Source organism: Homo sapiens, chromosome 20 (assembly GCF_000001405.40).
Source record: "Homo sapiens chromosome 20, GRCh38.p14 Primary Assembly".
Lineage (NCBI taxonomy): Eukaryota > Metazoa > Chordata > Mammalia > Primates > Hominidae > Homo > Homo sapiens.
This window is the reverse complement of record NC_000020.11, coordinates 10,462,964-10,479,119: the sequence shown is the minus strand read 5'-3', so window position 1 is coordinate 10,479,119 and position 16,156 is coordinate 10,462,964. Positions and strand designations below refer to the sequence as shown.

The following is a 16,156-nucleotide window of genomic DNA, read 5'->3' as shown; positions in this document are numbered from 1 at the left end:
GTCCTAACCACTTCTCAAGGTCTCCCTAACTCCTTCTCCAATGCCAGTCCCGAATCTGGGCAGAGGCCTGAGTAGGGGGAGGATTGGCAAGCTCATCCCTGGAATCCCAGGTTTTAGGCAGTTTTCTCTTGCTTCTACCTGAATAGAGGTAATACGCCTTTTTCTCCAAGACTGACCCCCTTCTTTCTTTCACCTTCCCTCTTTGCATACCATCTCACCCCATCCCACTTGGTAAGCCAAAGGAGCTCAAGAATCTCTCCCTTGGGAGTGGCAGCTACCTCTAGAAGAGCTTAGAAGAGTTGGTCAGATTCATTAAGCTTTTACAAAGGAGTCTGGGGTCCAAAATTGACCTTTGACCAGCACAGTCATCAACGCATCTGTTTTCCTAAAGGATTTTTTACTGAGGGGCAAGGACAATAAAGAACAAGAATCAGAGGCTCCAGGGCCCCTTCTTTAACAATGTTACCTGTGCTGCCTACCTCCCAAGAGAACATATTTTAACATGGTTAGTAAATGTAATATAGTTAATATTAATAAAATGTTTAAAATTACAAACCACTATAAGTAGTTGTGTTATTACTGGACAAGGATGATTCTAAATTAATATCTTCACAAGCTTGTAGCTAGAGTTTCGATCTTCATCAAAGCATATGCCTTTGAGTCAGAGACCCCAGGCTTGAAACCTGCTTTTCACATTCTCTACCTCCCAACTGAGCAAATTACTCAATCTCACTGCCTGTCACATCTGTGACATGTCAACAGTAACATGTACTTCACAGTGTTGTGAGAACTAAACAGGAAAAACACCTACTGAACTAAATAGGAAACACATGAAAATGTGAAAAACACCTACTTTATTAGGTAGTCAATCTTAGCTCCCTTTCTTTTGCTGTCACAAAAAAAGCTTTTAAAAGAGAGCTTGGCCGGGCGCGGTGGCTCACACCTGTAATCCGAGCACTTTGGGAGGCTGAGGCGGGTGGAATGCCTGAGCTCAGGAGTTCAAGACCAGCCTGGGCAACACGGTGAAACCCCATCTCTACTAAAATACAAAAAATTAGCCAGGCGTGGCAGAGTGCACCTGTAGTCCCAGCTACTCTGGAGGCTGAGGCAGGAGAATTGCTTGAACCTGGGAAGCGGAGGTTGCAGTGAGCCAAGATCACGCCACTCCCACTCCAGCATGGGCGATAGAGCAAGACTCCGTTTCAAAAAAAAAAAAAAAAAGGGAGATTGTAACAAGGAACACCACAACACACAGATTTCACATCTTAAGCAGCTGAAATAAAATGCCCAAAGAGGATGAGAAGGAGCCTATATAATCTTAAAATAGATATGTTTCCCAGCTGGTATCTTTGATTACTAATTAAGCTAAGGCTTATTTATTTGGTAAATGCTTACCAGTTGCCAGGCATTGTGTTAGAAACCTTTTATGTAACAACCCCATGAAGATTGACACTTATTATCCCCATATTGGAGAGAAGGAACCAAGATCCTAGAGATGAGAAGCAGTCAGGTCCATCTGACAACTGTGCAATAGCCTAACAAGAATTCCCTTCGGCCGGGCACGGTGGCTCACGCCTGTAATCCCAGCACTTTGGGAGGCAGAGGCAAGCGGATCACCTGAGGTCAGGAGTTCAAGACCAGCCTGGCTAACATGGTTAAACCCCATTTCTACTAAAAACACAAAAAATCAGCTCATGCCTGTAATCCTAGCACTTTGGGAGGCCAACGTGAGCAGATCATGAGGTCAAGAGTTTGAGACCAGCCTGACCAACATGGTGAAATCCCGTCTCTACTAAAAATACAAAAATTAGCCAGGCGTGGTGGTGCATACCTGTAACCCAGCTACTCAGGAGGCTGAGGCAGAAGAATCACTTGAACCCAGGAGGCGGAGGTTGCAGTGAGCCGAAATCATGCCACTAAAAGAGCGAAACTCCGTCTCAAAAAAAAAAGAGAATTCCCTTCACAGTCAGGTCAGAAATCTAAGGAACACTGGTATCTTTAGAACCTAAGACACCAAAAACCTGTGTCTGCTCTTGATACGGGAAAACCCACATTAATGCCCTAATAAGACCTCTTAAACTTCGAATAATATTTCTTAGAATTTAAACTGAAGACTGAAGGAAGGAGCTAAGACTCTTGGTTTTGCTGAAATTTGGAAAATCTAGCTTAACTGCAAAAGCATTAATGTTATGTAGTACCATTCACTTTTATTAAACACACATTTAGTTTGAATACTAGTTAATTTAAAAGTGCCCACAATGTTAAAGATAGTGATGGGTAAAACAATGTTCATTATATTCCTTCCCTTTAACAGTTTTACATTTTTCCATTGAGTTTTTTTTATCTACACACACACACATCTCCCATGATCTCTGCAATAAGAGGCTGATTCATGTAAATTTTACAGAAAGCACCCTTCTCTGGATAATTTTAACTTTTCCTAAAAATAAATATTCCAGTCCCCAACCCAAGGAGGGCGCAGCAGATCAAGAATGCACTGTCATGGCAGGTGGAGAATCAGTCATTATGGGAAGTGAAACAGACACACGCGGCATAGGAACTGATACAGCAACATCTGATTCCATCCAGCAACCTTTAAAAATGTAATCATTTTATCAGCTGTTGGTAGACTTTGCACAATGGCTAGCAGTACTACTTGGTGACAATTAAAAATACTAAAGCTACAATGCATTTTTTGTTGTGGAGGAAGTACAAATGGAATGCTGAGTCAAAAGCAAATATGCACACTCATAGATGACTATGGGACACTTTGCAATGCATTCAGTGCTTCAAAATTTAAGATTTAAGACCAGATTCATGCTACTGAAGGTTGGGTCCTCTCCCAACTCACAAGATCATCAAAGAGTAGCCATTCAAAAAAGTTTAGTAGAATGACATCCTCTTTGACACTTTTCTTGACTTTTACAATATTTGGTTTAATTATCATAACAGATATATATATACACACACACACACAGTGAGGGATGTGAAAAACCTTAAAACACTTCAAAATGCACACCGATAATAAAACACATTGCCAAGTTGTAAGTAAAGCAGTTAATTATGACCATCGTCATCCCCAGGAACCAAGAGAAGCTTCTCAAGGGTCAGATTATTCCAGCTACCTCTTGGATGCCCCCGAGGCCTCTCTACAAACTGTAAGTGCTCATTACTATGTTCTGTAAAAAGGCCTGTCTATGAGACTGCCAAAAAGAAACTTTCCAGCAAAGTCTCTAAATTGTAAAGTACTATCATGTAACTTCTGGGGGAATCTATGCCCCTCTTTCTGACAGCTGTCATGCTCAAGGGTGGGCATGGGCAGCCATGTATTTACCATGTGACACTGCCCCGTGCCACAATCGATGAAGCAAAAGTGGACATCTGCCCAAATTCACCTCCAGAAGTTTGCTATTGGGGCAGAAAGTGCAGCAGTTTTGTAGGATATGTCACTTGGGAGGTGAGGAGCCACTATCTTCTGCAACATGAACAAAGGAGCAGAGAGAGGCCAGCAGAGGGAGAATAACAAGGAAGATGCAAAGACCAGAATCCCACTTCTCAAAGAGAGGCCCACAGTGAAGCTGCCTCAGGGCCATGGGCAACCTGAAGCTACCTCCAGGCCCTCACCAGCTCAATAGCACACTGATGCCAGTATGCTGAGACAGTCACACTCCCTTATCATAAACTGCCCATTTCAAGTTCTAGTAGTTTGCGTGGGTGTTACTTCCTTCCAAAGAGCCTTGACTAGCAGTTACGCTAGTCTAAGCTAGTTATTATGACTCTAAATAAGACACTAAGTTCCCTTGGGCAACTTCTGAGATCCTCACTTTCCACTCCCCAGGGATTCTCATCTCATCACTGAAGGAGCTGAACAAGGATGTTTTTCAATGTTAAATTCTATGCATGACCTCAATACACCAAACTGATGGTGGCCGAGCTGTCGGCTGGAGCAGAGACAGGGATCTGGCTCTGGCCCTCCACAGAATGCAGTGCTTCCAGGGAACTCTGCTGAAAGCCCTGACTTGGATGCTCTCTAGGGATCCTGGCTTAGCCTTGGCAGATAATATTCCCAATGAAGAGCAGCTTTACTTGAGCGGCTCCACGTGCTTGCCCAAAGAAGGCAACAGACAGAGGATAAGGAGTGTTACTCAAGTCTGAGGACCAGGAAGCTGGAGAAGATGAGACTCTCTCACCACCCATGGCCTGAACCCACGGCTCCCTGAGGAAAAGCAAATGCTTCCAGTCCTGGATGGTGGCGCCAGAGGGAGGCCGAGGTAAGCTATGATACAGAGATCAGTGGCCAAAGGGCAGCATCATCCCAGGGAACACCCCCAACACCTCTGATTCAGCAGCCCCGATTAGATGGAATAAACTGCTTTTCACTTCGGAAGTTTGGCTGCAACATAGTGGTAAGGGAGGGAAAAAAAGGAAGTGAACAAGGCGGCCGGCGGAAGTGGAGAGGCTCCAGCCCCAGCCCAGGCCCCCAAGGCCCATCTGGCCTTCCTTCTGGGGTTAACCATGATCCTTATTTGACCACAAATGGGAGCGGGGGAAAAAAGAAAAAGGAAAAAACTCCACAGAGATGTAAATGGAGGACATCAATACCTAAAGTAAAGAAGGGAAGGGGGTCTAGGAAAGAATGGCTCTTAAAAGCAAACTCCAGAGTTCAGACATTGTATGGGGCCTCATTAAATGGCATTAATGACTCCCACGAAGTTAGGGCTTAGAATATATCTGCATAGCTGTGTTATGTGATCTCTCAATATTATTTTGGACTGAAGAATATCTTGTTCAGAACGATGGGCTTTTGTAAGAAGCTCCTTCTTACTTGACAACTTGAAATATTGTTAGACCAGCACACCATTCATAAGCTTTTAAAAAGAACTAATCAGAACTCAGGCAGCTTTGGCCAGGAATGGTGGCTCATGCCTGTAAACCCAGCACTTTGGGAGGCCAAGGAGGATGGATCACCTCAGGTCAGGAGTTCAAGACCAGCCTGAGGCCGAGCACCGTGGCTCACGCCTGTAATCCCAGCACTTTGGAATGCTGAGGCAGGTGGGTCATCTGAGGTCAGGAGTTTGAGACCAGTCTGGCCAACATGGTGAAATCCCATCTCTACTAAAAATACAAAAATTAGCCAGGCATGGTGGCGTGTGTCTGTAATCCCAGCTACTTGGAAGGCTGAAGCAGGAGAATCGCCTGAACCCATGAGGCGGAGGTTGCAGTGAGCCAAGATCACGCCACCACACTCTAGCCTGGGCGACAGAGCAAGACTCCTTTCAAAAAAAAAAAGAAGACCAACCAGCCGGGCCAACATGGTGAAACCCCGTCTCTACTAAACATTTTTTAAAAATTAGCCAGGCGTGGTGGCAGGCGCCTGTAATCCCAGCTACTTGGGAGGCTGAGGCAGGAGAATTGCTTGAACCTGGGAGGTGAAGGTTGCAGTGAGCCGTGATTACACCACTGCATTCCAGCCTGGGTGACACAGTGAGACTCTGTCTCAAAAAAAAAAAAAAGAAACAGAACTCTGGCAGTTTTAAGAAGAATTGCAGAATAAGCTGCTTCAAGACACACTCTGGCAGAAAAATATTAACCACAATGATTATCAATATTTATGACAATGAAGATGAATATTACTAATAATGCCTAACACTTACTAAAATGGTTACTTGGTACTGTGCTAAACACTTTATACGAATCCTTTTATTTAACCCTCTCAATAACCAGTACAATAAAATCACTGCAATGACTGTGGGAGATACTAATGCTGCTGGTCCAGGGAATACACTGAGAACCAGTGCTTTAGAGACAACAGAGATTTTCTTTTCTCCTACTGCCCTTAGTTGCTGAGCTTTCTGACCCCAGTGGTTTCAACCATTTAGCCTGTGAGTAGAAGTGCATGCCCAGTCTCACCTATCAGGCCTGGTTCACAAGCTAAGTACCACCACAGCGTATAACAGCCAGACCGAATGCTGGCCATGCCCCACAGCTATTTTTTTCTTCCAGACAAAAGTTACTAGAATGCCAAATAACTCAGCTGTTCACAGACCAAAATGCATTTTTCAAATTAAGTTATTTTTAAGCCTGCTTTCTTAATAGCAACAATGTTCTAAGGACAATTTATAACAACAAAACAGATAAACAAACTTAACAGTTTTGTTTGAACTCCTGGTCTTAGAAAAATAAGCCAGCATCTGCAAAACACAATTAAACACCTAAACATTTTTATACTTGAATGAAACAAAACAAAACAAAAAAACCTCAATGAATATCTTTAACTATTGTTGGCTTTAAAAGGCCTGTATCAGGTAACAAAGAAGGGAAAAGGGATGGGTGCTAACACCTTCTGGGTCGTGACTCTGTGCTAAGATGGACAATTATTATAGAAGTGAGTTAACATTAATCCTATTTAATTAACCCTATTATTTAACAGATGTGTACAAAAGCTCAGAAAGACTCAAGTCACTTCCCAAGGTGCTGGTCAATCTTAAGGCCCTGGTTCAAACCCAGGCCTTTCTGCCTCCAAAGGCCAAATTATTTCCATTATACCATGCACACAAAAATCCCTTAAATAAAAATGTATAGTATTACCAGGCCGGGCATGGTGGTTCACGTCTGTAATCCCAGCACTTTGGGAGTCCAAGGCACGCAGATCACGAGGTCAGGAGATCAAGACCATCCTGGCTAACACTGTGAAACTCTGTCTCTACTAAAAATACAAAAAATTAGCCGGGCGTGGTGGCAGGCGACTGTAGTCCCAGCTACTCGGGAGGCTAAGGCAGGAGAATAGCGTGAACCTGGGAGGCACAGGTTGCAGTAAGCCGAGATCGTGCCACTGCACTCGAGCCTGGGCGACAGAGCCAGACTCCATCTCAAAAAAAAAAAAAAGTATAGTATTACGGAAATGTAGAGTTTGACAGGCCCTTAGAAACTCCCTAATTCAACATCTCATTTAATAGATAAGAAAACTATAATAAACAAATAAGAAAACTACACTAAACAATTTCCAAAGATGGCCACCAACAATCCCTTCCCTCCTCTGGAGGTACGCTGCTCCTTCCATCAAGAGGCAGTTATTTCCTCTCCTCTTGACCTTGTGATTTGCTGCCCAATAGAATACAGTGGAAATAATAGTGTGCCAGTTCCAGAGGTAGCCCTTAGGAAGCTGGCAGCTTCCACTTTCATGTGCTCTGGGGAAGCTAGATGCCATGTTGTAAGGGAGCTCAAGCCAGATTACTGAGTGATGAGACACCTTGTGAAGAGAGAGGGTATCATTGAGAAGAACTAAACATGTGAGTGAAGTCTTCTAGAGCTTTGTAGCCTGGTCAGTAACCAAATGCATCTGAGTGATTGACCCCAGCCAAAGACAAATAAAGCAGAAAAACTGCCCAGCTGGATTTTCTGACCCATTGAAATATGAGAATAGTGGGGCTTCTTTGTCACACAGATACAGATAACGGAAACAAAAGAGGCTAGCTGACTTGCCCCTAGATAGGAATCAATAGCAAGGACTAAAATCTAACAACCCTAACTTCTAATCCTGACCACCTGCCACTGTAGCCCAAAGTATAAACTGATTAACAAATAGTGCACCCAACAGACTGGCTGCCCTATGGCTTTTCCACAACATCCCATTCAGAAACATGTCTGAAAAAAATTACTGGGCTCATCTGGTCATAACCCAGCTATGCTGGGTGCTCTGGTATCTCTTTTTCACTAACCTTTATTTAATGATATTAGTTTGACACATTAATTTCTCACTGCAAACTACCTGAGGTTAGGGATGGGCAATCATCAGCCTCATCTGTGTCTATAGTGCCTAACCCAGGGCCTTGCATGATGAGGATAAATAAAGATTTGCTAATTGAGCCCTCACATATGAAAAGAATTAGACTACTCCTCACTCCCAAGAATTATGAGACCAGGAACAAATAAGTCAAGGCCAAGTCCCTCAAATACCATACAGCATGTCACTGTAAGATAATAAAATAATTACTGACAGCCTAAGACATGCATAAAATGTTATTTTCCCACTTTCACAGCATTATGTCTTTTATATTAATTTGATATCCAAAAGAAACCCTGTAAAACAGACACTGCTGTTAATCCTACCTTATAGCTGAAGAAATAAGATGCTCAAAGGGGTAATAAAATTCACCCAAAGTCATCCAGTTTTCAAAAGTGAAACCACAACATGCATTCAGGAATCCTGATTAAAAGTCTGATATTTTAATTTTCTAGAATCCTTTCCTCAAAGACTTGATGATCTAAATTTCAAGAAGTGCTATCAAAGAACCTAGAGTAAAATGAATAGATTTAGAGAACCACAAAAATTTAGAACCAGACATGATCTCAATACTAATCAGTAACATATGGTGAATTTTTCAGGTAATAAGGATCCGGATGCTAGACCTGGTACATACCTTACCAGAATCTATATAATGCTATTCCACTGTGGAACAAACAGCATGACATTCTTTTTTCACCTCATATTAAACTCGCAAAATATAGCACAAGTGTGTGCATGTGTGTATGTGAGTGTTTAAGGTAACTATTAATAACCTGATTATTTCCAACAGTCTGAAAATCAGTGTTTTTGTCACATGACACTCACATGGGACAAAGTGACACATATAGAGGCCTAGCTTCCTGTATTACTTAATCATGGATATTCCAAGAGCCTACTACTAGAGAAGTATCTCAAAGCACAATTAGCAAACACTATGCATCGTTACATTATTTGGCTAATGACGGCTACGCTGCTGTACGTTTTTGCCATTTCAATGGAATGTCATTTCCATGGAATTCTCTGGGACTGTAAATTGCAAGGACACTCTCAATCGCTACCCCATCCCTCACTTTCTCAACCAAGCATCCCCCAAACTAAGAGTAATAATAACAAAAAGGAAAGGTGAGTCGGATGAGCAGTAATGGTAATAAAACTATGACTTCAAGGATTTCTTTCCAGACTCGACTGGCCCCCTCCAGCCCTTACTGCTGGGACCAGGGCGGAACTGGGGTCCCAAAGCTTTCAAAGGACAAAGAGGATCCTTACTCTCCGACCATCATCTCCAGGTTCCTGAATCTGGAAAGGAAGTACTGAAGAGGCAGTCTTGTGTCACTCTGAGAATGCTTTCCCTGGGGCCACTTTGGATAGTTTTCGTCGTTGGGACTGTCTTCCCTCGGTGTTTGGTGGTGGTACATCCTAGTGAGGAGGACTCTATGACAGAAGCAATCTAAATATACACATTCATAAAAGGCTAGGGATGCAAGTGTGCACATACAACCACCAGGCAAACAAACAGGCATTTAGGATGTCATAGTAACGTGGGCACGAGCCAACGACTGTAAAAGCACTTTAGTTGCTGTGCTTCTTTAGATCACAGCGGGAAGATACTTTATAAAACATTGGAACAATGATGCCCCCTACAGCCCTCAGAGAGAATCCAAGGTGCTTACTGAGTTCATCTATTTGGTAAGAGATCCTGAGTTTACTTTTCTGGTAAGAATTAATTTTTACACTAGAATAAGTAATAAAAACACATGCTTTGTACATATGTTGGAAAAAATTAAAAGTATCAAGGTCTAACACTAAGAAATTATTAAAATAAAATATAATGTCTAGACAATCAAAACCATTATACTGAAACATTTTACTTTTCTGAAGCATATAGAAGCAAATTCTATGGATTGTCATCTTGATTATTAATAGAGATTATTTTCAAAAGAATTATTAAAAATATTTTCAAAGTGGAACTGTGGACTCCTAAAAGGAGAAATAGGTTGAGATGATTTTTTTTTTAAAAAAACAAATATACCACAAATTGAAGATTACAACATTCCCTGACTGGAACTGAAAAAAAGACCAGTAAGAAATAATCCAAAGCTGGAGTGACTTCCCTGTTCTCTATGAGCCAAGACGAAGAAACTTGTCATCTTTGGGACAAGGAAAGTGGGGGGTACTGGGCACTTCAGAAATGCTTTAGACCACACTTGTCCAACTCGCTGCCCAGGATGGCTTTGAATGCAGCCCAACACAAATGTGTAAACTTTCTTAAAACATTATGAGATTTTTTTTGCGATTTTTTTTTAAAGCTATTGTTAGTATAAGTGTATTTTATGTGTGGCCCAAGACAATTCTTCTTCCAGTGTGGCCCAGGGAAGCCAAAAGATTGGACACCCCTGCTTTAGATTATTCAAGGTCTGTGCAGATATGAAAGAAGCATAGGACAGCTCCTTCTTCCCAGGGAATGTGGCTAGGCATAATGTATATAAAAGCAGATGTATATCACCTCAAGATGATGTTCTTAGGAAAGAAAACAAATTGGAAATATATATAAAACATAACATAAACTGCACATAACAGTCAAAAAAACACATAGCAAGAGAGAAATCAATATGGGAAAGGTTTAGATGTGTAACAAAGAAAAAGCAAGTCATTCACTGGTCAAGCTTGGAAAAAGCTGAAGGGTGTGGACCAAGGAAGAAAAGGTGAGAGATAGCAAACAGAGGGAAAACCACAGAAAAGCCAGATGACTGCAGGAAATGCAAATGCATTAGTTTCACAGGAATAAGTGGGCCACGTTCCCCAGTTCCAAGATGAAAACAAACATGGGTCCAAGTTAAAAAGGAAGGGGAGAGTAATTATCAGAATGCCTTACGTCTAGCTGGAGAGTTCAGATTAGATCCATTTAAACAAAAGGAATTACCCTGATCACCTAAGCAAGGAAGTAACATGATGAATATGATGTTAAGAAAACATTACCCTGGCACTTGTCTAGATGAACTGGAATGGTAAGAGAAGAGAGGCACAGAGGTCCTCAGAGATTAACATGGACATAAAAACAAGGACAATAAAGGCTTGAATTTCTAAGAGGAGTAAATTCAAGATGCTCTGCAGAGCAGGAATGCGTTTAGTAAGTGACTAAAGAATGAAGGACGAGACATCATTTGGCAAGCCCAGGGTGTGTGGAGGCAGCATCAGAGACTTTCAAAGCAAAAATCAGCTTAGATGAAAGCCATGATAAACTCAGTTCTTTGTTTGAAGTTTTAGGGATCAATGTAGGCAGAAACTTCTTGGAGGCAGGTGGAAAGTTGAGACTAAAAAGGAGGATAAGAAGCCAGAGCTGTATTTACACATTTTTAGTCATCCAAAAAAAGAACAGACTAGTTTATCTATTATCACATGAGGAAAGGACTGGGAAAATGAAGCCTAGAAAACTGGGTGTCTGGCCAGAAAGGCAGAGAGAACTCTTAGAAAAAAAAAATTAATTTCAAGTCCAAGAACTTTGTTTCAAAGTCATCAACACTCAGAGCAGATGCCTTACAGAGTGAGAAGGTATCTAAAAGCTCTAAGCCTGAGATAAAACTCATTGGGTGACTGCTGGTGTGAAAACTTTTACTAATTTTATTTCAATTCTTTCACGAAATCAGCACATACTTACTTAAATACAGCTTCCAGCATGAGCAAAGCAATAGAACAATGATACTGAATGGGAAAACAGCATCCTATGTTAGTTTGGGCATAGCATCAACCACTCTGCAAACTCGCATTGACCCTGTATGTCTTTAAAACATAAAGCTCTTACAAGGAATACATGAAATTAAGGAGGAATTGGAAGATGCAGACTTTAAGTATCAGGAGAAGAAATATAGAGGTACTTCTTTCACTTTAAAAGTTTCACAGGGACAAATCTCTGTAAAATCATTCTTCGGGACAAAGGTTGCACACTCCAAAGTTATTTCCAGTAAGGAATATAACCATTTAAAATGTTTGTGATTTATTCTGTTTAGGCACTTCAGTTTTATTCTTTCTTAAAATGTGTAGAAAAATCAGTACCTAGAACTCAATTGATATGAAAATAATTGCATAAATCTTTTCAATGTGATACACAAAATCAACGCAGCCATTTTCAAATGAGCACTGATAATAGTCAGTACCACGTTCCCATTTAAGTAGACGAAAAAACCTAGGACACAGGATTTAAGTGATTCCTTGAGGCAAACTAGCAAGACAAAAGCCTAGTGATTACCCATTTACCATTCAACTGTCTCTTTCTCTGAAAGTTTAAAGAGCTGCTCTATACTTTTACTATAAAGGGGAAATCATTGTCAATTCTTAGGCTTATTTCTCTTTTTGTGGTGTTCTAAGGAATGTGAAGACTAAGGTTAACTGAAATTCAGAGAAGAATATAAAACTATAATTGCTCTGAAAGAGTGGAAAGAAAAACATTGATAGTAAAGATGCAGGGAGTTCTTTTTTTTTTAATAAAATCTCTCCTTTCCTCCTAAATATTAATAAAACCTTAAATCTTTTACTTTAGATTCAGAAAACGACTCAAGCTTCCCACCCCTAAATTCCAGCCCTCCCCTCTCCCAAAATAAAAAGTAGACAACCCCATCAAGAGCAAAAGTAAAAGCGTTTAGCCTCCTGGAATGGGTGGGAAGAAAGAGGAGGGGATCATTACACATTCCCTGTAGAAGACAAAGCCAGATGCACATTCCAGAGAAATCTGGCGGGTCCGAGTTTTTCCTTAAATACAGACTGGCCTGTCACTAAGCCAGGCTCTGTAATCTTCCCAGGCTGCCACCGCTAGGGAAGCCAGGAATCCCTTCTAATTAATCAAGCCCTCCCAACAAAAATTTTCCCACCCACAATAAAGTAGGTTGGGGGGGAAGGGAAGCAGCAGAGAAAGCTCTGCAGCCAAAAGAATTCTAGACTTTAGTATAATACCTAACTAATCCAAGAAAACAGATGCAGGAAGCAGAGGAAATTATCTACAGAGACACACAATGAGGTAGGAAACTTTCACAGCACTGCTCCGCTGGGACCCAAAATTTAAATTCAAAATCATAAGTTAGAATTATTATTGAGAGCGACCCTGGCAACATTCTATACTTTTTCAAATGCCTCTAAGGCAGCGGGTGGACACATAAACTTTCCTGAGGTAGACACCATGTGTATCACTTGACACTTTTAACAATAATTTGATATTTGGATTTCTTTTTTATTTTACTAAAGTTTTGTTTTAATGGATAAACATTCATGACTATTACATTATGTGTCCATGTCTATTTCTTGCAAAGGAAATGGCTTTACCTTGGCCTTGCTAACTTACCCCACACCTGCAGCCAGTTTAACCCAAGGTAACTTCATTGAATGCTTATTCTGATAAGGTACCAGGAGGTAGGAGTACCAAGGATACAGCAATTTAGATCTGTGTTGGCCAATACAGCCGATACTAGCCAGTGGTGCCTACTGAACATTTGAAATGCAGCTAATAGGAATTGAGATGTGCTGTAAAAGATATATTTGTAGGCCGGGCACAGTGGCTCACGCCTATAATCCCATCACTTTGGAATGCAGAGGCAGGCGGATCACTAAAAGTCAGGAGTTTGAGACCAGCCTGGCCAACATGGCAAAACCTCATCTCTACTAAAAATACAAAAATTAGCTGGGCATGGCGGCATGTGCCTGTAATCCCAGCTACTTGGGAGGCTGAGACAAGAGAATCACTTGAACCTGGGAGGCAGAGGTTGCAGTGAGCCAAGATCTTGCCACCGCACTCCAACCTGGGCGACAGAGCAACAAGCGAGACTCAATCTCAAAAAAATAGATAAATAAAAGATATATTTGTATACATATTCTATACATAAATCAGTGTGTGTGAGTGTGTTTATTTCAGACTTTGCAAGCAATAAGGTCTTTGTTTCAACTACTCAACCCTCCACTTCATTGTAGCATAAAAGCAGCCAGGGATGATATGTAAACAAGTGGGAGTGGCTGGATTCCGGTAAAACATTATTTACAAAAACAAGCAGCTGGCATGTGGGCTGTAATTTGCAGATCTCTGGTCTAGATCTTTTCCCTACCCTAAAGAGTTTATTATTTTGGAAATTTTAAAACACTGGGGTGGGTGCAAAGCTTGGGTTTAAGATTGCTATGAAGCCTTGGGGAGATGCGCCTGCTGCTACCACTTCTTTCAGTTAAAATAAGAGTCACTCACTGAAGTACAGGACATACCTCCCTGCTAGAAGCTGCAGTAGCCCAGAAGTCTATAGACCCTGAAAGTTATACTTCCAAGGATTCCTACATCTCATGCACTACTGCCATTTCCTGGAAGTCTGGCCTCAGAAGAGTCTTCAACTCTTGAAAGAGTTCAAGAGCCAGCTGTGCGGTGGCAGTGCCGCCTGTAGTCCCAGCTACGTAGGAGGCCAAGTCGGGAGGACAGTTTGAGCCCAGGAGTTCATGTTCAGCCTGTGCAACATAACGAGATCCTGTCTCTAAAAAATAGTGATTAAAAAAAAGAATTCAAGGCCAGAACCACAGCCCTTAAAAACAAAAAAAAAGTATTCATATGCAGGAAGGTCAGATGGGTAAGTCGTTTGCATGAATAATTAATGCCATTCCAAGGGCAGTCTTAGAATAAACAACCCAGATGAAGTGTCAAACTATTTGGTGTTCATCAATTTTTCTGTTACTTTGAAACCCTGCTCTAACCAAGTACTTTTCAACCCAGTCAAAAGTGGCTGCATCTATGTGAAAAATTTGCATAAGTTAATTAATTCCTTTTAAATGTTATTTATTATTATTGTTTTTAATTTAGAGATGGGGTCTCACTATGTTACTCAGGCTGCTGGTCTCTAACTCCTGGCCTCAAGTGATCCTCCCTCCTGGGCCTTCCAAAATGCAGGGATTACAGATGTGAACCACTGTACGCAGCCTACATTTTATTTATGCACTTAATTTTTATATTAATGCATAGACACATATTAAAACGACATATCAAAGTGAGGTCTCAAGCTGGGTGTAGTGGTGCACATCTGTAGTCCCAGCTACTCAGGAGGCTGAGGCAGGAGGATTGTTTGAGCCCAGTAGTTCAAGATCAGACTGGGCAGCATAAGGAGACCCCATCTTTCAAACAAACAAACAAACAAAAAAACAAAATGGCCTCTTCTGCCTCATCCAGCCCCCTCTCTCACTCCAACTCTCACTCACCATGGGCAACCACACTGAAACTTAGCTTTTTGATCTGGTAATTTGCCAACATATTTCTAAACACTATGTTTATCCTACGAATGTCTTATTATTTCAGTTTTATATACTTTATGTGGAAAATGAAGACTTAATCCTTATACCTGCCCTCCCACATGTTTCCTTCCCCAGCCTTCCAAAACTTGGAGTTCACAATATTATGAAATGTAACCTCTGTTCAAAGCTGAACCATGCAGGAGGATCACTTGAGCCTAGGAGTTCAAGGCCGCAGTGAGTTATGACTGTGCCACTGCATTCCAGCCTGAGCAACAGGGCAAGACCCCATCTCTATAACAAGAAGAACAAAAAGTTGAGCCACGTAGTATACTATGCTTAATTTCCTATCTTGCACAATCTTTTGTTTACTGAGAACTGAGGGTTGCATCATTTTTCTTTTGTTTAGTTTTCTATATTCCTATGACTAAATCATTCCCATGCTACCTGACAGGCCTAAAAAAATCTCTTCTCAATGCATTTAAATACATGATGTATTTTATTCATTTCATTTTTTGTTGAAGAAATCTTTCATGGAACCCTCTGTCTTCTTCCAATAGGACTGGTTACTTTGGTTGCAGTTCAGAAACCAATACCCAGAAATATAACACTTTGACATGCTAAACTAAAAAAGCAGCAGCAAGGTCTCTCTGACCTCCTCCCCTCCTCCTCTCAATCCGTTATCTCTCCCAAAGCACAAGATGAGGCTCTCCGCTGAAGCTCTATTATCTGCCCAGAAACTGGATACCCAAAGAGGAACACAATTGCCTTCCATATTCCCTGAAATTATCTATAGCAGAGAAGACTAAAGAATGCAACCACACAGTGGACAGGCATTTCAACTAGGTATTATCTGCTTCTCGGCTCATTCAAATTCTAAAGAGAATCATTTACAAGTTAATTTCTGTCTCTCGAGTCCATTCATTTCCCCTAAAAATCAGTTACCCCTATATCTCCCAGTTCCCTCTCCCCAACGAAGAGGGTATTAAGGGTCAACCGTCTGGCTCTTTGGGTTTTCTTTTCTTGTTGTTGTTGTTTTTAGAGACAGGGTCTCTCTATGTTGCCCAGGCTGAACTCAAACTCCTGGGCTCAAGCAAATCTTCTGCCTCAGCCTCCCCAAATGGCTGGGAC

General features: G+C 41.4%; 1 protein-coding gene across 1 annotated transcript in view, besides 1 other annotated feature; it reads right to left on the bottom strand.

The window, feature by feature from the left end:
* The window catches only part of SLX4IP (SLX4 interacting protein), a 192,726-nt gene that overhangs the window by 148,911 nt on the left and 27,659 nt on the right, over positions 1-16,156 (bottom strand). The window lies entirely within an intron of this gene.
* Positions 11,849-12,548: an enhancer, noted in NCBI's record as "OCT4-NANOG-H3K27ac hESC enhancer chr20:10447220-10447919 (GRCh37/hg19 assembly coordinates)". NCBI's record gives its function as "activates a minimal SCP1, AML or CMV promoter by ChIP-STARR-seq in naive H9 embryonic stem cells {active_cell/tissue: H9 hESC(naive)}" and the evidence as "EXISTENCE:reporter gene assay evidence [ECO:0000049][PMID:30033119]".